Consider the following 19,830-nt stretch of genomic DNA (forward strand, 5'->3'; position numbering starts at 1 on the left):
AGGAGTTCGAGACCAGCCTGGGCAACACAGAGAGACTCCATCTCTACAAAAAATTAAAAATTAGCCAGATGTGGTAATGCAAGCCTGTAGTCCCAGATACTCAGGAGGCTGAGGCAGGAGGATCGCTTGAGCCCAGAAGGTCAAGGCTGCAGTGAGCCATGTTCACATCACTACACTCCAGCCTGGGCAATAGCGCAAGAGCCTGTCTCAAAAAAAATTAAAATAATAAATAAACAAGAAAAAAATAAAGACTAGAGAATAGCTAGAAAGAGTAAACTACCCAAATTTATATCAGCTAGAAAGCAGATTTAAAAACTGTGGTACAGTCATGAAATAAGTACTACTTTTTTTGTTTGTTTTGAGACAGAGTCTCACTCTGTTGCCCAGGCTGGAATTCAATGACACAATCTTGATTCACTGCAACCTCCACCTTCCCAGGTCAAGCAATGAAAATACTACTTTTAATATAAAAGAAGAAACTACTACATGCTGCAACACAGATCTGTTGCAAAAGCACTGTTCTAAGCAAAAGAAAACAGACACATGATTCCATTTCTATGAAATTCAAAAAGGAAAAGCATTACAGTGAGAGAAAGCAGAACAATGGTTGCTAGGTAGCCAGGACCTAGCCTAGGGGGAAGTGACTGAAAATACAAAGGGAAACCAGGTAACTTTTTGGGGTGATGAAAATGTCCTGTACCTGGATTGTGGTGGTGATTACACAACTGTACACATTTGCCGAAATTCATCAAACTGTACACCTAAAATGGGTTAATTTTACTGAATGTAAAGTATAACTCAATAAAGATGAAAGAGTCAAAGACATTTTATTAAGTGATACTGTCAGAAATTGAACAAATAACAGTACTTTAGCTGTGCAAGTAACATAAATTGTGTATTTACAAGTAAAATAACATTAAATATTAATACCTTCTTTAATATCCTGACAAAATGACAATGTTACAAAGCATGGTTATCTAAGAATTTATCGTATTTCTAATTTGGAAGGGGTTTTGTTACCACTACACTGATTGTCTCAAGAAAGTAATAAGAAATATGATCTCAGAGAATAATTTCTTATAGCCAAGTTCAATTGACTAATACCTCACCTGTCTATTAGTTCATGAAAATGCTGCAAACTTTTCACATGACAATCTTATTTCTCAAAGTGACCCCATGGAAAAATCACTGAATTTCAAGAATCCTGTCTTATCATCCTTATCTAACAATTACAAGTGACTGCTGACAAAAAATGCTGTCATACCGGAGGTTAAGAAGTTATAGCACTGAGGCCTGGCACAGTGGCTCACGCCTGTAATCCCAACACCCTGGGAGGCTAAGGCAGGTGAACACCTGAGGTCGGGAGTTCGAGACCAGCCTGACCAACATGGTCAAACCCCGTCTCCACTAAAAATACAAAATTAGCCAGGCGTGGTGGCTCACACCTATAATCTCAGCCACTTGGGAAGCTGAGGCAGGAGAATCACTTGAACCCGGGAGGCGGAAGTTGCAGTGAGCAGAGATCACGCCACTGCACTCGAGCCTGGGCAACAAGAGCGAAACTCCATCTCAAAAAAAAAAAAAAAAAAAAAAAGTTACAGCACTGAGCTTTAAGGAACTAAATAATTCCCCAGTGGCCCCTTCTTCTAAGGTTACAATCCAAATTCTAAGGTTATTCTACAAATGTCAAATTTTTTAACATGTTAGAACCCAATCAGCTTTATTAAGTAAAATTATCAAAATTGTCAATCAGAAATAAGCATTTATGAGACAACAGGAAAATCTGGGCAATTTTGTTATTAAGGTTTTTTCAGGTTTTTTTTTAAAGGCTTCATATTTTGAAATATATAGTGAAGATACAGCAATTAAATTACCTGATAGAGGAGAATAAATGGGGAGAGAGTTGAAATCAGATTGGCCATGAGTTGACAACTGTTAAGACTGTGTGATGGGAACATGGTTGTTCATCATACTATTCTCTCTACTCTTGTATATGCTTAAAATTTTCCAAAATAAAAGGCTTAAAAATAATACTCAGGGGAAAACTTAAAAACCAGTTCTAAAAATAAACCAACAATTCATAACCACAGTGAGCCAAGAGAAGAGGCTATTTTCACATGACCAGAATGCCAAGGAGTCAAAATGACAGAAACATGGATGCTAACTAGAGTCTGTTTTCTTAATTAGAAATATGTATAATATGGGCGAGCGCAGTGGCTCCCGCCTGTAATCCCAACACTTTGGGAGGCCTAGGTGGGCAGATCACGAGGTCAGGAGTTCAAGACCAGCGTGATCAACACGGTGAAACCCCATCTCTACTAAAAATACAAAAATTAGCCAGGTATGGTGGCGTGCGCCTGTACTCCCAGCTACTCAGGAGGCTGAGGCAGCAGAATCGCTTGAACCCGGGAGGCGGAGGTTGCAGTGAGCCAAGATTGTGCCAAAATGGCACCACTGCATTCCAGCGTGGGCAAGAGCGAGACTCAAAAAACAAAATAAATATGTATGATAAAATGAGGGAGGGGAGACATTAAGTACATCCTCCTGTAACATAAAATTGCTTCCTTTAATATACCTTATAAGATCTACGTCCATGTAACTCAGTCTTCAGCAATTAAATTTTCCTTTGGAAACTATTTCCTAAATAACCTAATGGTCTAATTGTTAGGGGAAAAAACCCTGACCTTTCCTAATTTCACCTATTATTCCTAGTCGTATTCCTGTGTATCCTGTAATTTTCTTCACAAGTGTCTGTTTATTCCTAGGCCTATGATTCAGTCACAGATATCCTGATTTATAAAATTGCTCTGCCTTTGTTTTGATTTTCTATTTTGCTTGGCTATTCTACACCCTGCTGTTAATCTTACTTAAGCAAATTCATTTAAACATTTTAGTTAGGCCAGACTGTACTTTTCCAATACAATAAATCTAGTATTGGTTTTTTATTGTTTGTTTTTGGTTTTGTTTTTGTTTTTGAGATGGAGTCTCGCTCTGTCACCCAAGCTGGAGTGCAGTGGCGCAATCTTGGCTCACTGCAACCTCCACCTCCCAGGTTCAAGCAATTCTCCTGCCTCAGCCTCTTGAGTAGCTGCAACTACAGGCATGCACCACCATGCCCAGCTAATTTTTGTATTTTTAGTAGAGATGGGGTTTCACCATGTTGGCCAGGCTGGTCTCAAACTTCTGACCTCAGATGATCCGCCCACCTCAGCCTCCCAAAGTGCTGGGATTACAGGCATGAGCCACCGCACCTGGCATAATGCATTTAGTATTGCTTTTAGGTAACAATCTCAATAATCAAATGGTGAGATTTTTCACTGATTTGGTAATATGATGCTCCATCCCACACAACCTAATGTCTGGGGGGTTTTTTTATTGATTTTTTTGTTTTTTTGTTTTTTGGTGCACCACAATAAAATTTCAAGCAGCTTTCAACTATTATAACCTCTACTCACCACAACCTTTGTTATGCTTCATATAATCCCTGGCATATTTTCTGGCTCCTACTGAGTGAAGATATGCCTGAGTCTTTAAAACCTCAAAGTTCTTAATAAACATAATGAGCACTCACTGAATGCCAAGACTTGTGCAAAAACACACTTTCTATGCCAACACTATCCAAGAGAACTTTCAGTGATGATGGCACTGCTCTGTATTTGCACTGTCCAATGTGGTAGTGAGTAGCTACGTGGCACTACAGTGCACTTAAAATGTGACTAGCTACAGATGAAGTGACTTAAATTTTTATTTAATTTTAATCAATCTTAATTAATTTTTTTTTCCTTTTTTTTGAGACAGAGTCTTGCTCTGTCGCCCAGGCTGGAGTGCAGTGGCGCGATCTTGGCTCACTGCAACCTCTGCCTCACGGGCTCAAGCTCTGTCTCACAGGCACAAGCAATTCTCCTGCCTCAACCTCTTGAGTAGCTGGGATTACAGGCGTCCACCACCACACCCAGCTAATTTTTGTATTTTTAGTAGAGATGGGGTTTCACCATGTTGGCCAGGCTAAGGGGTCTCGAACTCCTGACCTCAAGTGATTCGCCCGCCTCAGCCACCCAAAGTGCTGGGATTACAGGCATGAGCCACTGGCCGGGCCTTAATCTTAATTTAAACAGTCATGTTTTAAAAATTAAGAATATATATTGCGGCCAGGTACATTGGCTCATGCCTGTAATCCCAGCATTTTGGTAGGCTGAGGCAGATGGATCACCTGAGGTTAGGTTCAAGAGCAGCCTAGCCAACATGACGAAACCCCATCTCTACTAAAAATACAAAAATTAGCCAGACATAGTGGTATGCGTCTGTAACTTGGGAGGCTGAGGAAGGAGAATCGCTTGAACCCAGGAGGTGGACGTTGCATTGAGCCGAGATCCGGCCACTGCCTCCAGCCTAGGAGACAAAGCAAAACTGTGTCTCAAAAAAGAAAAAAAAAAAGAACGTATATTGCTTGAAATATTCTTCATAAAAGTCATTTTCACTTATTTTTACAACCAAATGCATTGAAGATCATCTAGGATGGGCTTCCTTAACCTTAGCACAACTGACATTTTGGACCCCGTAATTCTTTGTTGTGGGGGCTATCCTATGCATTATAGGATGTTTAGCAGCATCTCTGGCCTCCATCCACTAGAGGCCAGTAGCAATGCCCCAGCTGTGACAATAAAAAATGTCTCCAGACACTGCCCAATAAGGGGAGGGGGTTGTGTGTGGAGGGTGCAAAATCACACCAAGCTGAGAAGTACTAATCTAGAACTAAGAGTCGATTCTGCTCTGAATGCTAAGGATATTCTAGGGCAACTCTTTTGAGTTCCTGCTTTGCTATCTGGAAACCAGGCAACACGTAAAAAGTTAAAAGTAACCATCTCTTCGTAATGTTTTCCGTAGAATCCACATTATAATATTGATCTTTTCCCATCTACTGTCTCAACTGTTCCTCCCTGACCTTGAGGAGAGTGCTACACCTAATTCAGAGATTGATGTGGGGGGTTCTAAGAGGTTAAATGACTAGGCTACCAGCGCAGAGTTTGAAACTCCTGTCTATAGTATCTTACCTTGTGTTATGACACCTGAAAGGGAAACTCTAAGCTTAGAGAAAAATCCTTTTGATATGACAATCTCAATAAAGACTGTTTATGACTGCACAATACGTTGTAATGCCAAAAGGCAAATCTCACAGGAAAATTCCACATACAGACAAGCAATAAGAACTGGTTTGTTTCGTAACTAACCTGCATCTTGAGGAATAATTCAGGACAAGGACAATAAATGCCATAACCACATCACCTTAAGAAGACCTATCCTAACCTAGTACCAAGAAAAGGTTAAGAGCGTCAGCCTCTGAAAAAAAGGCATAAACCCATTAGGAGCCCTGGAAAGAGCAGTTGAGGGGAAAACGGAATCAAAACACTAAGACAGGTGGCCACACTGCCTGAAGGCTGGGATGTCTGAGACAGCAGAACCATTCTGGAATACAAGCCACGTGAAGTGGAATGGAGCCCTGGACTTTAAAGAAAAGTCAGAAGACCCATCAGGTGGACCTCAGCTGTCTCTCAGTAGTTGTATCCCTGCATAAACACTGTAAATCTCTGTGCCTATTTTTTCAGCTCATTAGTGAGGCACTTTCCAGGCTATTAGTGAGGCAGGCCTTTCAGCTCTCCCCTCAAGCTCGACGAACCACATTCTTTATATTGTTTTACTGTTTCTCTGAGACAATGTTTTAAGCAGGAACGTAGTACTAACTCAAGAAATCCATTGGAAAGGAGATCAAAATGTCCAAAGTATCTGAGCACTGAATGGTTTCAATTCAGCTCAATGAATATTTGCTTGAGGGCCCAGCATTCTGTGCCAGGCACCTTGTAATCATTCTGGGAAGTCACAGCCAACATCCTCTTCTTTCCACCCCAGCCATCCCCACCTGTATTTGTCAATTTCATCCTGGCATCATTATTATTCATTATTGGCAAGTCTGAAAACACAAATTATGAAAAAAAGATACTTTTTTATGCTTTGTACATTTTAGACACTTGAGACATCAGACTATGATGCTGAACAAAATATTTGACTTTTTAAGAGGATGTGGGTAAAGAAAGAAAACGTATTTGAAGAAAACACTACTGTTTTGAGGACCAAGTTTTCTTCAGCTGAGCAATTTATTTGCAGTACCATTCTGCCTGTCTAATCTTACTACTTTTATTCCAAAGTATAAAGTCTATTTACACCCTTTTCATACATAACTATGATTATCATTTTATTTGTGACTCTCATACATTTCTCATAATAAAAAAAGTCAAGCTACAGTAGCAGTAGCTTTTTTATTGCCCCAACTTACTAAAACTTGGTAAAGTTTTTATCTTTAGATGAAAATACGCTTATTCTAGTTAATTAAAAGGTTCCAGAAAACCAGTCTCTTTTGGAAACAGATTTTTCTCAAGTGACAGGTTGATCCTATTACAAGTAGGTATGCAAAAAGGAGCCCTCCTTTTGAAAGGGAAACACAGAACAGCTCCTGCCACAAATCAGCTACTTCAAAACTTAGGATATGTGCCTATCTTAAATGCTGCCTTCACAAATCTCAAAAGGCAAGACATGTTTACCGCTACTAGATACAACCATATAGCTCTTTATAATTTCACCTACGGCACCTTTCTATTTTTCAAATATCTGCCACCTTGATGCACATGTTATGACTCAAGTCTACTTTTTTCCTAATTTCATGAAATTAAAAGTCACTATGATCTAAATATTTTTAATGTTGTATAATGATAGAAGAATCAAACAAAGCTGATTGTTTATACTAGGAATGGAAAAAGAAGAGTTAGCATTTAAAAAGATACATTACTTGTAAATTTCTCAAATAGCTGAAGCAAAAGGAATGCTCAAAAATGAATCAAAGTGCCCAACACAACCGCAAAATAGGTTTTGGCATGCACAGCCAACTGAGTAAGCTAGTCAGGTTTCTTGGTACATAAAGTTAGGACTAATATAGAAAACATGCCCTACCTCTCTTCTCTCTGGTGCGGTTTTCTAAGTAACAAGACAAGCACTACCAACATGGTTCTGTTAATGACCGTAGAGCTATCCTCACTACTAGCCTGTTTCTAAATTTTACCAAAAAATTTTATGTTAATGTCTCCAAAAGATCTTTAATGAAGTAAAGTCAGGCTAAGAACCACATAACAAAATGTTAAATAACTAAAAAGTTATTTCAGAATTTAAAGGAACTATGTGACAACTCTGAGTAGTTAGTATTTTCAGTAAGTATTTCAAAAGATTCCCAAACATGTTAAATACAATATGGCTACAGCAAAGATTAGGCAAATCCGAACCAAGTGCAGAAACTAAACCGCCAGCTCTGGATTTAAAAGCTGTCTGCTCCACTTGAGGCGGTTAGATACACTGACACAAGAGGCCAGTATCTCAGCAGCAAGTTAGGCCTCTTCCTCCCTCTGGGAAGCGCATGACAAACAGGGCATCATGCAACTTAAGTCACCCGGTCACTTAGCAAAAATTCTATGTAACTTCTAAACTTGGGACCAGATGGCCTTCTATACGCAAAAGAAATGTAGAGAGCAGTGAAGTACTGGGAGAGAGGAAGACTTAAAATGCTCCACTTTGTGATCCTGTAAACATTTAGCCCATCATTAGATCTGAGTCTTAGATTCTAAGACATGCTTTAATGGAGGCCTCCCTCAACCTCCTGAGTCTGTTTTCCAACAGTGAAGGAACTTTTCCTGCCTTATCTCAGTTCCCTGAGAGCATGCGGCACTGCAATTCAATATCCTAAACTGGCAAGGAACGGTGGCGGAAGAAAAGGAGAAATCCAAACCAAAACAGCCTATAAAAGACAAAACATAAAATAAAATCATAATTCATCCTCCGCCCATAGCAAACCCAACCCAGAAATTTACAGCGTGTTAAGAAAAGCAGCATTGCGAACTGCAAACGTAAGAGTTTTCCTTTGACACTCTACGCACGGTTTTCAGCTGTCAAATTACAACTCAGGAAAACACTATCATTAGAATAGAAAAGGAAACAAAAAAGCTCGCACCACAGGGGCTAGTAGCAGGAGCTGCCAGCACCATTTCAGGAGGAGAGTAAAGGGAATCCAATGCACTTCCCCACCCCCGCTTGAATCCATCCCCTCCCGGGGCAGGCAAACCTCACTGCAGGGGCTCAAATTTAATAATAATAACAATAATCATGGCGCTTCCTCCCTCACTCCCTCCCCCAACTATCACCTTCCCCCCACCCCCCGCCCGCTCCCAGCAATCTGCCGGGAATCGGCTTCTCTCCCCAACCCGACCCCGGGATCCCCAGGTCCAGACCACCCCACCGGACACAGCTGCCGGGGGCCCGGGACAAGCCCAGCCCAGCCCACCCCGGGGCCCCTGGCCCCGCTTCTCCTCTTCCCTCTCTTTTTACCTCCACCATCCCCCATCCGCATTGTCTGTCTCAATTCAACTTTGACTAATATGGATTCCTCGGGCCTTGGCCGGGCAGTAATTACCGCCTGCCCCCCGGGAGCCAGAAACCACCCCCCCATCTCCGCCGAGTTCAACGCCGCTCCTTGCGGGAGGGGGAAGGGGGTTTACAGAGCGCTCTCCAGTCTACACCGCGAGTCCCGTCTACACCGCGCTCCCCCCGCGGCCCCCTGCCCCCGGGATGAGAAGTTTGCCCCGGAAGGAGCCTAGCAGGAGGCAGTAAGGACCCCCGCACCCCACCCCAGCTGGCCGGCCGGCGCGTAAACACCCGCACCCGCCCGGCACGGCCCGTGGGGGAGGGGAGGGAGGGAAGGGCGCCCCTCCCCCCGCGCCCGCCGACCCGCCAGCCCTATTACCTGTCATTGAGCTGGTCCTCGGTGCCCGGCAGCGGGTGAACCACGAAATGGATGGACGTCATGGTGCTTTCCTTCTCGTCCTCCACTCGAGGGCGGCCCCCTCCCGCTCTCGCCCGCCCCCCAGCCCTCTACCCCTCCCCAAAACCCACAGCCGCCGCCGCCTCCCAGTCCCCAAATGGAGGGAAGCAAATACGCAGGGGCCGCCGCCGCCTCCCTGCCGGGCGTGTGTCCGCGGCCCGGAGGGGCGGGCAGGAGGGCGAATCCACACGCCACCCGCTCCCCCGGCGACAGCGCGGAGTGCGAGGCAGGCGGCCGGGACCAGGGGCGCGCCGCCGGCCAGCGGCAGACGGGCGTTGGGAGAGGGGCGGCCGGGGGAGGAGAGGGGCGGCTGCTGGCTGCGGGCTACGGGGACGGTCTGGTCCCGGCGGCGGACGGGGTCCGGACTAGGGGAGGTGAGGAAGGAGGGGAAGGAGATGAGCCCGCACCGCGCGTCACTAGCGAGAAGCTGCCGCCGCCATCTTCACTTCTGCCCCAGTTTCTCCGTCTCGCAGGCTCCGCTCCGGAGCGGCGGGGGAGGGGCAAACGGGAGGAGGAGGAGGGAGGAGACCGGCGGGCGGGGGCGCGGCGGCGAGAGGCGGGGCTCCGGGAAACGGGCGGCAAGGCCCCCTCGATTGGGCTGCTCAACGTTGTCGGGCCACGACGCTGTAAGGCGCGTGCCGATTGGTCCGTTCGGCTCCCGAGCCCAGCCCCGCCGGGGGTGGGATGTCTCCAGAGTGAGTGTTCCGGAGAGCACGTGTTAGGGAAGGAGGAGGCTGCGGGCTAACCTGCCGGGAGGGAGGGTAAGTGTGTGTCCCAGAGGAGGCGAGGAGGAAGAGGGGCTCTTGTGTTCTTTCGCTCGGATTCCCCTGGGGCAGCCCTAATTATTTGGCGGATCCTTAGGGGTTTCTTGTTGCTTCTCATCCTTCATCCGCAGTTGTATTTATGGTGAAGTTGGTAAAATCAGTTAAGGGGCAAGACATATACAGCCTTTTATTGGAAAAGTAAGGAAATTATGTAAGGGCCTTTCCAGAAGGAGATAGTAGGATCCTGGAGTTGGCTTTGCAGCAACTTCTATTACCTCGGTCTCCCCAGTTTCCTCACCACCATCACATGCCCAAAGACAAAATGTGGAAATTTCCACTAATTTCCTGATATAAATGATTCGTGATTTTTTATTACTTTTAAATGAAAGATGATAAACCTGTTCTACAAAGGAGTTCAATTTATGATCAGTGGAATCAGAACGGAAAATTATTATTTTTTTTTTTTTTTTCCCCGAGACGGAGTTTCGCTCTTGTTGCCCAGGCTGGAGTGCAATGGCGCGGTCTCGGCTCACCTCAACCTCCGCCTCCCGGGTTCAAGCGATTTTCCTGTCTCAGTCTATGGAGTAGCTGGGATTACAGGCATGTGTCACCACGTCCGGCTAATTTTGTATTTCTTTTTTAGTAGAGATGTGGTTTCACCATGTTGGCCAGGCTGGTCTCGAACTCCTGACCTCAGGTGATCCACCCGCCTCGGCCTCCCAAAGTGCTGGGATTACAGGCCTGAGCCACCACGCCTGGCCGAGATAGGATCTTTTATACCGAGTTTCTACTATAAGACACTTTCAGAGTTTTGGCCACGGCGCACAGTGGCTCACGCCTGTAATCCCAGCACTTTGGAAGGCCGAGGATGTCGGATCACCTGAGGTTGGGAGTTCGAGACCAGCCTAGCCAACTTGGTGAAACCCCATCTCTACTAAAAATGCAAAAATTAGCCAGGCATGGCTGTGCGCGCCTGTAAACCCCACTACTCAGGAAGCTGAGGCAGAAGACTTGCTTGAACCTGGCAAGTTGCAGTGAGCTGAGATCATGCCACTGCACTCCAGCCCGGGCAACAGAACGAGACTCCATCTCAAAAAAAAATTTTTTTTAATCAAATAAGTCTGTTTTTTTTTCCCTAAGGAACCAATTCATGACTTTCTTCTCAAAGGTTTCTATGACCTCCTTTAAAAAATAAAGTACCTCTTCGAAGGCAAAAACTGAGAACATGACATTCCTTCTACAGAGGTGGTCTGTTAATGAATTACACACACACACACACAGTTTTGCTTAGGAAGTTCTTCTGAGCAAAATTTATGAAAAAATACTTACAAATCAGGACAGACCTGGTACCCTCAAGGCAGATAATGGAACACTTTTGTAGGTTACCAGCTCAACCATTGGCCCAGATTAGTTTAGACTAAAAAGTGATTTCAAGGTCACTATTAGATGTCCCTGGGAGCCCTGAGGAAGGAAGGTAGACCAGTAGACACTGCTAGATTTCAAGCCAAACAGATCTAAAAAAAATTTTTTTTTTTTGAGACGGAGTCTTTGCTCTGTCGCCCAGGCTGGAGTGCAATGGCACGATCTTGGCTCACTGCCACCTCCGCCTCCTGGGTTCAAGTGATTCTCCTGCCTCAGCCTCCCGAGTAGCTGGGATTACAGGCGCTGCCACCATGCCTGGGTAATTTTTGTATTTTTAGTAGAGACAAGGTTTCACCATGTTGGCCAGGTTGGTCTCGAACTCCTGACCTCAGGTGATCCACCCACCTCGGCCTCCCAAAGTGTTGGGATTACAGGCGTGAGCCACTGCGCCCAGCCCAGATCTAAATTTCAGTTGTTTCTGCTACTTAACTACGTGGCCTTACTTGGATTTAGATTAGTTAGATTTGGCCGGGTGCACTGGCTCACGCCCATAATCCCAGCACTTTGGGAGGCCGAGGTGGGTGGATCACCTGAGGTCAGGAGTTTGAGACCAGCCTGGCCAACATGGTGAAACCCTGTCTCTACTAAAAATACAAAAATTAGCCAGGAGTGTTGGTGTGGCTGTAGTCCCAGCTACTCCAGAGGCTGAGGCAGGAGAATTGCTTGCTCGAACCCGGGAGGTGGAGGTTGCAGTGAGCCAAGATTGTGCCACTGCACTCCAGCCTGGGCGACAGAATGAGAATCTGTCTTAAAAAAAAATTAGTTAGATTTAACCTATCATTGCATCTTTTTTCCTCATTTGTTAAATATTCCATACTAATAGATCTATCTACACAGAGTTGCAGTGAGATCTAAATAAGATAATGTATGTCAGACACCTAGGACAGTTCATATACATAGTAGGCTCAGCAAATGGAAACATTTACTTGTCTGGTGCTATGTTCCAGTTTTTTTTTTTGTTTTTGTTTTTGTTTTTGTTTTTTTGAGGCAGGATTTCACTCCCATCACCCAGGCTGGAGTGCAGTGACATGGCCTCGGCTCACTGCAACCTCCACCTAGCAGGCTCAAGCAATTCTCCTGCACTGGCCTCCCGAGTAGCTGGGTCTACAGGCACAGGCTACCACGCCTGGCTAATTTTTGTATTTTTTGTAAAGGCGGGGTTTTGCCATGTTGCTCAGGCTGGTCTTGATCTCCTGGGCTCAAGCGATCGACCCACCTCGGCCTCCCATCTATGTTCAACTTTTACACCTTATACCTTTTAATACTTGAATCACACTATAGGGTAAATTATAATATCCCTGTTATCTAGATGAGGACACTGGGGCTCAAACACCTGAGGTAAGGACTGAAGCTGATACTGAAACCCCGGTCTTCTGACTTGGATTCCATTGTTCTTTCCACTATACCACTGCTGCCATCTAGAAGTTAATAATTTAGAAGGAACAGACTATTCAAAGCCAATAGAGAAAAAAATTATATGATAAATGGAAGAAGAGTAATGTGGAGGTTGAAGGAGGAAGTGATTCCAGCCAAGAGAATTAAGAAAAGTCACTCAAGCTGAGCTTTCTTTTTTTTTTTTTTTTTTTTTTGAGACGGAGTTTCAACCTTGTTGCCCAGGCTGGAGTGCAGTGGCGCAATCTTGGCTCACTGCAACCTCCGCCTCCCAGATTCAAGCAATTCTCTTGCCTCAGCCTCCTGGGTGGCTAGGATTACAGGTGCCCGCCACAACACCCGGCTAATTTTTTGTATTTTTAGTAGAGACAGGGTTTCACCATGTTGTCCGGGCTGGTCTCGAACTCCTGACCTCAGGTGATCCACCCTCTTCAGCCTCCCAAAGTGCTGGGATTACAGGCTTGAGTCACCACGCCCAGCCAAGCTGAGCTTTCAAGAATGTTCTGAGCAAATAGAATACCTGGCTTAAATCTAATCTTTTTAGAATTGCCCCCAAACAGATCACACCATACCCATAGTTTGCCTTGCTTCTCTTTCTTCCAAATATCTCCTTTGTCTTTTCATTATGCTTTTATCCTGCTTTCAACTCGATTCACCCATTCCTAGTTTCCTAGGACTGAGACTTTTTCTCCTGGTTGAAAGTTGGTCTGCTTCCTCTAGACAGCCTATTGGGAAACTGCCTCTCTGGTCTTTGATAATCATCTTGGCTTTGCTACCTTTTTGTTGTCCCAGATGGCATATTAGGAAGACTTTTCCTCTCCCAGGGCTGTAACACCTTGGTGGGTCACACTTTGAACAGAGAAAAACAAGTAAAAGCATGGAGTTGTGAAAGACCATCACATGTGTGGGGGCTGAAGAAATACAGATAATGGAGATAAGCAGGGGTCAACAGAAGCTCTTTGAAGAGTCAAAGTGCAATACAACCTTAGAAAACAGACTCCTTTTTAAAGGGAGCTCCTTTCTAATAATTTGAACTAATTCTCCCTTTGAGGACAGCTAGAAAAGTTAGGCAAAATATTTCTTCAAATTTGCTTAATGGCACAAGAAAGCTAGCAAAATAATGATGGATTACCAAACCAGGGTCCAAGGGATGAATAAGCCCCAAGTGAGTCCTCTGTTTGGAGCCACTTTTCCCCTGGGATGCGTGTCAATTCCAGAAATACAAACTGAGAAGCTGAAGTAGAGCAGGTCTGACAGGTACTTGGGGCTAAGATAACAGGGATTGATGTCTAGTTTCACCCAATGCAGTGGGGAGTGCTAACGAACCCCTCTTACTCAGTGTTCAGACCTGAGGGACTGCCTCCCTGAAATAGGCCATATCTGAGATTTGGTTTCCCCAAAAGCAGAGCTTGAGAGAAGGATTTGGCTGTAAATCGTTTATTTAGGAGGTGATTGCAGGAAGCACTGTGTGGGAATGGAGAAATGTATAAGGGTGGGAGAAATGCCAATAAAAGGTGGGCTGATAAGTGTTTTACTACCACAGGCAACTGGGACCCAATCCCACTGGGAACCCTCTGAGAGACCAGGACATACCTGAGAATTAACCTACTGAGGAGGGAGGAAGCTAGGGGTATTTATCCATGAACCCCATCTCACAGTAGTTAAGGGTTGCTCCTAGGTTGTTTAACTAGCTAAGCTGTTAATAGCTAGGTTAATGTCCAACAAAAATTCATTGTCTTACATACAAAAAAAGAATTAGGACTTGAACATTTTTAAACACCATTTAAAATAATATTAAAAACGATTAAATATCTAATATATAAGAACAACCAATAAAAGATGCCAAAGCCGGTACACAGATTTAAAATGTTTTTGAGGAGCTTCCAGACTGCTGACGACGTGGAGGTGCTGGTAGAGTGGCATGAACACAGAAGGCATGGAAGCTCCTCACACTTCTCTCCCATACCTAGTCCTATGCATCTCTTCCATCCAGCTCTTCCTGGGTTGTATCCATTAGGATAAACTGGTAAACACCTCTTGGGTTCCAAGAGAAGGAAGAGGACACATACTGCTCTTCAGATCCGTATACTGATCCCCACTACAACCAGTGAACCGGAACATTGAATCTGGATAGGGGGCCCTGGTGACTAAGATGGCACGCTCTAAAGATCTAGGGCACTCTCTTGGCCCTGTTTTGCATCCTATGCAGGCTGTGTGTACACAGCAAGGATATTTCCTGGAGGGAATTCATGAAACAGCACTACCTAAGTCCAAGCCAAGAATTCAGAAAATACAAATGCAACGTCCTCATGAGGGAAAAAGAAGCTCTGAAAGACAAGAGCTCTTGGGTGTTCATCTATACCTCATGGTACAAATGGAGCATATATGCGTCAATGACAACTGAAATGACCGCTACAGAAATGTATGTATATAGGCCCAGAATGCCCTGAAAGAACTCAGTTGTCACCAGGAGAATTCAAAAAAAAGCAACACATTGTCTGGGTGCAGTGGCCATAACTATATTCCCAACACTTGAGGCCAGGAGTCAAGACCAGCCTGGGCAACATAGCCAGACCCCATCTATACAAAAAAATAAAATAAAATTACCTGACATAATGATGCACATGTGTAGTCCTAACTAGTGGGGAGGCCGAGGCAGGGGAATTGCTTGAACCCTGGAGATTGAGGTTGCTGTGAGCCATGATCACACCACTACACTCCATCCCAGGAAGCAGAGCAAGACCCTGTCTCTTTTTTTTTTTTTTTTTTTTTTTGAGACGGAATTTCGCTCTTGTCGCCCAGGCTGGAGTGCAATGGCACAATCTGGGCTCACTGCAACCTCCACCTCCTGGGTTCAAGCGATTCTCCTGTCTCAGCCTCCCGAGTAGCTGGGATTACAGACACCCACCACCACGCCTGGGTAATTTTTGTATTTTTAGTAGAGACGGGGTTTCACCATGTTGGCCAAGCTGATCTTGAGCTCCTGATCTCAGGTGACACCTTGGCTTTCCAAAGTGCTGGGATTATAGGTGTGAGCCACTGCACCCAGCCAACCCTGTCTCTTTAAAAAAAAAAAAAAAAAAAAAACTACCCAGAGAGCAGAAGTTTCAACTACATTGAATTCCACTAACGCGGATGAGTAGGTTGATAGCACAGAGGACCTGAAGATGATGAGCCTGTCAACTACTAGAAGGTCTACCCACATCCCCAAATTTTGCTACAGTATTCTGTGCTTGCCAAGCAGTGGCCCCGTCTACATCATTCGCCCCTGCCACTCTCTCCTTTGCATTTATGTATCAATGTTTTCAAACTACTTAGAGTTATGTATCACATGGTCTCTTGATACCATACCTTTGCCTGTGTTGTTTCTCTGCCTGGAATACACTTCTGTCCTATTTACCTAATTTACTCCTACTTTTTTTCCCCAAGATTCAGCTTATATGCCATCTCTTCTTGACTAACCCAAGACTTTTTCTGATAACAATTCTCCTTATATCTACCCAAGCTGAATGATCTTCCCTTCCTTTAAATAAATTATATTATATCAAAAAGAATTTTTCTTTAGAGAAATCAAAGATGATCTAAATACATGGAGGGATCAGGCATGATGGCTCACACCTATAATCCCAGCACTTTGGGAGGAGGAGGCAGGAGGATCGCTTGAGCCCACGAGTTCAAGGCCAGCCTAGGCAACATAATGACACCCATCTTTATTTAAAAAAAAATTTTTTAAATAAAAAATAGGCCGGGTGCAGTGGCTCATACCTGTAACTCCCGCACTTTGGGAAGCCAAGACAGGCAAATCACCTGAGGTCAGGAGTTCAAGACCAGCGTGGCCAACATGGTGAAACCCCATCTCTACTAAAAATACAAAAATTAGCTTGGTGTGGTGGTGCACACCTGTAATCCCAGCTACATGAGAAGCTGAGGCAGGAGAAATGCTTGAACAGAAAAGACACAGAAAAAGATGTTCATAGCAGCATTCTTTGTAAAAGCCCCAAACTGTAAATAATCCAAATAACCATCAAAAATAGAATATTATGGCATGTTCATGCAGTGTAATACCATGCAGTAATACATACGAATGAACCAAAGCTCTTTGCAAAACCTGAATGAATCTCACAAAAATAATGTTGAATAAAATAAATCAGAAATGTTACAATTTCATTGATATAAGCTTCAAAAACCAGCAAAGTGACACTCTGTTGTTACGGATGCATGTTTAGGGAGCAAAACTAAGAAAAGCAAATGAGGTTACCTTAAGGGGTAGCAGTTACTTTATGGGGGAGGAAGGAGTATCCATTAGAAAGTAGCACAAGGGGAATCTCTGGAGTGCTGACAGTGATCTATTTTTTGACCTGGGTGTTGGTTACAGGGTGTTCATTTATTATCATTTACTTGGCTGTACATTTTTTTTTTTTTTAGACAGAGTCTCGCTCTGTCACACAGGCTGGAGTACAGTGGTGTGATCTCGGCTCACTGCAACCTCCACCTCCTGGGTTCAAGTGATTCTCCTGCCTCAGCCTCCTGAGTAGCTGGGATTACAGATGCCCGCCACCACGCCCAGCTAATTTTTTGTATTTTAGTAGGGATGGGGTTTCGCCATGTTGGCCAGGCTGGTCTCGAACTGCTGACCTTGAGTGATTGACCCACCTTGGCCTCCAAAAGTGCTGGGATTACAGGCGTGAGCCACTGCTCCCAGCCTTAGCTGTACATTTTTGTTTTGCATAATTTTCTATATGTGTGCTAAATTTCACTATGAGAAACGATTTTTGGCTGGGCACAGTGGCTCACATCTGTAATCCCAGCACTTTAGAAGGCGAGGTGGGTAGATCACCTGAGGTCAGGAGTTCGAGACCAGCCTGACCAACATGGTAAAACCCCATCTCTACTAAAAATACAAAAATTAGCTGGGCGTGGTGGCAGGCACCTGTAATCCTAGCTACTGGGGAGGCTGAGGCAGGAGAATCGCTTGAACCCAGGAGGCGGAGGTTGCAGTGAGCTGAGATCGCACCACTGCACTCCAACCTGGGCAACAGAGCGAGACTCTGGCTAAAAAAAAAAAAAAAAAAATCTTTTTACGGTGGCTCATGCTTGTAAATTTAGCACTTTGGGAGTCTGAGGCGGCTGGATTGCTTGATTTCAGGAGTTGGAGACCAGCCTGGGCAACATGGCGAAACCCCGTCTCTACCAAAAACACCGAAAATTAGCCCGGCATGGTGGTGAACGCCTGTAGACCCAGCTACTGGGGATGCTGACATGGGAGGATCACTTGAGCCTGGGAGGTGAACTGAGGTTGTGTCACTGTACTCCATCCTGGGTAACAGAGTGAGACTGTCTCAAAAAAAAAAAAAAAGATAAAAATAATGTTTTGTATGAAAGGAGAGAACGTCAGCACTCCTCTTGACAAGGATGGAAGAGGCTCTCAGACCTGACAACATGCATGAAGTTAAGGCATTGCCACCTACTTCATGGCATCTAAACATGTTGTTGTGGTGGTTGTTTTTTAAAGACAGAGCCTACTTGATACCTATATACATATAGAAACATTAACTCAAGGTGAGTTGTAAACCTAAATGCAAGAACTAAAGCTCTAAAATTCAGAAGAAAACATATGAGTGCCAGGTGCGGTGGCTCACGCCTGTAATCCCAGCACTGTGGGAGGCCGAGGCCGGCGGATCACCAGCGCAAGAGATCGAGACCATCCTGGCTAACATGGTGAAACCCCGTCTCTACTAAAAATACAAAAAATTAGCCGGGCGTGGTGGCGGGCGCCTGTAGTCCCAGCTACTCGGGAGGCTGAGGCAGGAGAATGGCGTCAACCCGGGAGGCGGAGCTTGCAGTGAGCCGAGATTGCGCCACTGCATTCCAGCCTGGGAAACAGAGCAAGACTCCGTCTCAAAAAAAAAAAAAAAAAAAAAAAAAGGAGTGAATCTTTGTGACCTTGGATTAAGCAGTGGTTTCTTAGATATAAAAGCACAAACAGTGAAGAAAAAAAGATAAATTGAATTTAACTCATTTTATTTTAATTCAATGGATAAATTGGACTTAAACCAATTTAACACTTTTGTGTTTCAAAGGACGCCATCAAGAAAGGCAACCCATGGAATTGGAGAAGATATTTGCAAATTATATATTTGATAAGGGACTAGTGTCTGGAATATATATAAAACTCTTACAACTCAACAATAAAAGGACAATTAACCCCATTTTTAAAAGGGCAAAGGGGAAACAAGGGGCTGAAAATGAGCTCAAATTTATTTTTTTCAGACAGGGTATTTCTCTGTCATCCAAGGCTGGAGTACAGTAGCACGATCATGGCTCACCACAGCCTCAACCTCCCAGGCTGAAGTGATCCTCCCACCTCAGCCTCCCAAGTAGCTGGAACTACAGGCGTGCGCCACTATATCTGGAACTCCTGGGCTCAAGCAATCCTCCTGCTTCAGCCTCCCAAAGTGCTGAAGGATTACAGGTGTGAGCCACTGCGCCTGGTTTTAAACGTATGAAAGAAGATGAGTAAATAACAGTAAAGCCCTGGGTTGTGAAGATGTAATAATACAAAAAGCAGAGAGAAGGCAGGATGTTTGACTCCTGACTGTTCCATCAAGGACTGTAGTCTGGAAAATAAATATTTTGAAGGTGAAAAATTAAAGCTCATATTAGGATAAAAGACTATCAGAGAGCACTGAGTTGTCTTAAATTAAGTCAAGCCTCCTAACCCCAATAAAACACATCATAGTGCCAAATAAAGTTAAAAATCCAGCCAGGCGTGGTGGCTCACGCCTGTAATCCTAGTACTTTGGGAGGCCCAGGTGGGTGGATCTCTTTCAGCTCAGGAGTTCAAGACCAGCCTGGGCAACACGGTGAAATTCCATCTCTACAAAAAATACCAAAATGAGCTGGGTGTGGTGGCTCATGCCTGTGGTTCCAGCTGCTCAGGAGGCTGAGGCTGGAGGGTTGCTTGAAATGGGTGGCAGAGGTTGCAGTGAGCTGAGATCACGTCACTGCACCCCAGCCTGGGCAACAGAGTGAGACCTTGTCTGAAAAACAAATAAATAAATATATAAATATATAAATAAAATAAAGTTAAAAATCTGAAAAAATAAAACGGGTAAATTATTTCAATCAATATTTCTCTAAGGAATATATACAAATGGCCAATATGCACATAAAAATATTCTCAACATCATCAGTCATCAAAGAAATGCAAATCAAACCAGTGATGTGATACTACTTCTCAGCCACTAAGATGGCTAATATTAAAAAGACAGATAGGCCGGGCACAGCGGCTCATGCCTGTAATCCCAGCACTTTGGGAGGCCGAGGCAGGTGGATCAC

The 19,830-nt window shown here is 44.4% G+C and overlaps 1 protein-coding gene, 1 long non-coding RNA gene and 1 pseudogene across 3 annotated transcripts in view, besides 11 other annotated features; 2 read left to right on the forward strand and 1 right to left on the reverse strand.

Annotated features, from left to right (window-relative positions):
- The window catches only part of UBR5 (ubiquitin protein ligase E3 component n-recognin 5), a 160,428-nt gene extending 151,064 nt beyond the window's left edge, over positions 1 to 9,364 (reverse strand). For both annotated transcript variants that reach the window (NM_001282873.2, NM_015902.6), the window contains exon 1: positions 8,837 to 9,364. In NM_001282873.2, coding sequence (NP_001269802.1) covers positions 8,837 to 8,898 — 62 coding nt within the window. In that variant the 5' untranslated portion in view covers positions 8,899 to 9,364. The remainder of the gene's footprint in view (positions 1 to 8,836) is intronic.
- Positions 1,461 to 1,570: a silencer, noted in NCBI's record as "silent region_19437". NCBI's record gives its function as "represses an Ori minimal core promoter by ATAC-STARR-seq in GM12878 lymphoblastoid cells {active_cell/tissue: GM12878}" and the evidence as "EXISTENCE:reporter gene assay evidence [ECO:0000049][PMID:35858748]".
- Positions 7,586 to 7,645: an enhancer, noted in NCBI's record as "active region_27753". NCBI's record gives its function as "activates an Ori minimal core promoter by ATAC-STARR-seq in GM12878 lymphoblastoid cells {active_cell/tissue: GM12878}" and the evidence as "EXISTENCE:reporter gene assay evidence [ECO:0000049][PMID:35858748]".
- Positions 7,756 to 8,534: an enhancer, noted in NCBI's record as "NANOG-H3K27ac-H3K4me1 hESC enhancer chr8:103423320-103424098 (GRCh37/hg19 assembly coordinates)". NCBI's record gives its function as "activates a minimal SCP1, AML or CMV promoter by ChIP-STARR-seq in primed H9 embryonic stem cells {active_cell/tissue: H9 hESC(primed)}" and the evidence as "EXISTENCE:reporter gene assay evidence [ECO:0000049][PMID:30033119]".
- Positions 7,978 to 8,057: an enhancer, noted in NCBI's record as "active region_27754". NCBI's record gives its function as "activates an Ori minimal core promoter by ATAC-STARR-seq in GM12878 lymphoblastoid cells {active_cell/tissue: GM12878}" and the evidence as "EXISTENCE:reporter gene assay evidence [ECO:0000049][PMID:35858748]".
- Positions 8,535 to 9,313: an enhancer, noted in NCBI's record as "NANOG-H3K27ac-H3K4me1 hESC enhancer chr8:103424099-103424877 (GRCh37/hg19 assembly coordinates)". NCBI's record gives its function as "activates a minimal SCP1, AML or CMV promoter by ChIP-STARR-seq in primed H9 embryonic stem cells {active_cell/tissue: H9 hESC(primed)}" and the evidence as "EXISTENCE:reporter gene assay evidence [ECO:0000049][PMID:30033119]".
- Positions 8,728 to 9,167: a silencer, noted in NCBI's record as "silent region_19438". NCBI's record gives its function as "represses an Ori minimal core promoter by ATAC-STARR-seq in GM12878 lymphoblastoid cells {active_cell/tissue: GM12878}" and the evidence as "EXISTENCE:reporter gene assay evidence [ECO:0000049][PMID:35858748]".
- Positions 9,003 to 19,830, forward strand: part of LOC105375683 (uncharacterized) — a 110,442-nt gene continuing 99,614 nt past the window's right edge. Inside the window, exon 1 of the long non-coding RNA NR_168428.1 lies at positions 9,003 to 9,675. This is a non-coding gene — a long non-coding RNA (uncharacterized LOC105375683). The remainder of the gene's footprint in view (positions 9,676 to 19,830) is intronic.
- Positions 9,228 to 9,307: a silencer, noted in NCBI's record as "silent region_19439". NCBI's record gives its function as "represses an Ori minimal core promoter by ATAC-STARR-seq in GM12878 lymphoblastoid cells {active_cell/tissue: GM12878}" and the evidence as "EXISTENCE:reporter gene assay evidence [ECO:0000049][PMID:35858748]".
- Positions 9,338 to 9,537: a silencer, noted in NCBI's record as "silent region_19440". NCBI's record gives its function as "represses an Ori minimal core promoter by ATAC-STARR-seq in GM12878 lymphoblastoid cells {active_cell/tissue: GM12878}" and the evidence as "EXISTENCE:reporter gene assay evidence [ECO:0000049][PMID:35858748]".
- Positions 9,688 to 9,957: an enhancer, noted in NCBI's record as "active region_27755". NCBI's record gives its function as "activates an Ori minimal core promoter by ATAC-STARR-seq in GM12878 lymphoblastoid cells {active_cell/tissue: GM12878}" and the evidence as "EXISTENCE:reporter gene assay evidence [ECO:0000049][PMID:35858748]".
- Positions 10,519 to 10,628: an enhancer, noted in NCBI's record as "active region_27756". NCBI's record gives its function as "activates an Ori minimal core promoter by ATAC-STARR-seq in GM12878 lymphoblastoid cells {active_cell/tissue: GM12878}" and the evidence as "EXISTENCE:reporter gene assay evidence [ECO:0000049][PMID:35858748]".
- Positions 10,729 to 10,778: an enhancer, noted in NCBI's record as "active region_27757". NCBI's record gives its function as "activates an Ori minimal core promoter by ATAC-STARR-seq in GM12878 lymphoblastoid cells {active_cell/tissue: GM12878}" and the evidence as "EXISTENCE:reporter gene assay evidence [ECO:0000049][PMID:35858748]".
- On the forward strand, positions 17,861 to 17,986 carry RNU6ATAC8P (RNA, U6atac small nuclear 8, pseudogene; annotated as a pseudogene).

The sequence above is a fragment of the Homo sapiens genome, chromosome 8 (genome assembly GCF_000001405.40).
Source record: "Homo sapiens chromosome 8, GRCh38.p14 Primary Assembly".
Lineage (NCBI taxonomy): Eukaryota > Metazoa > Chordata > Mammalia > Primates > Hominidae > Homo > Homo sapiens.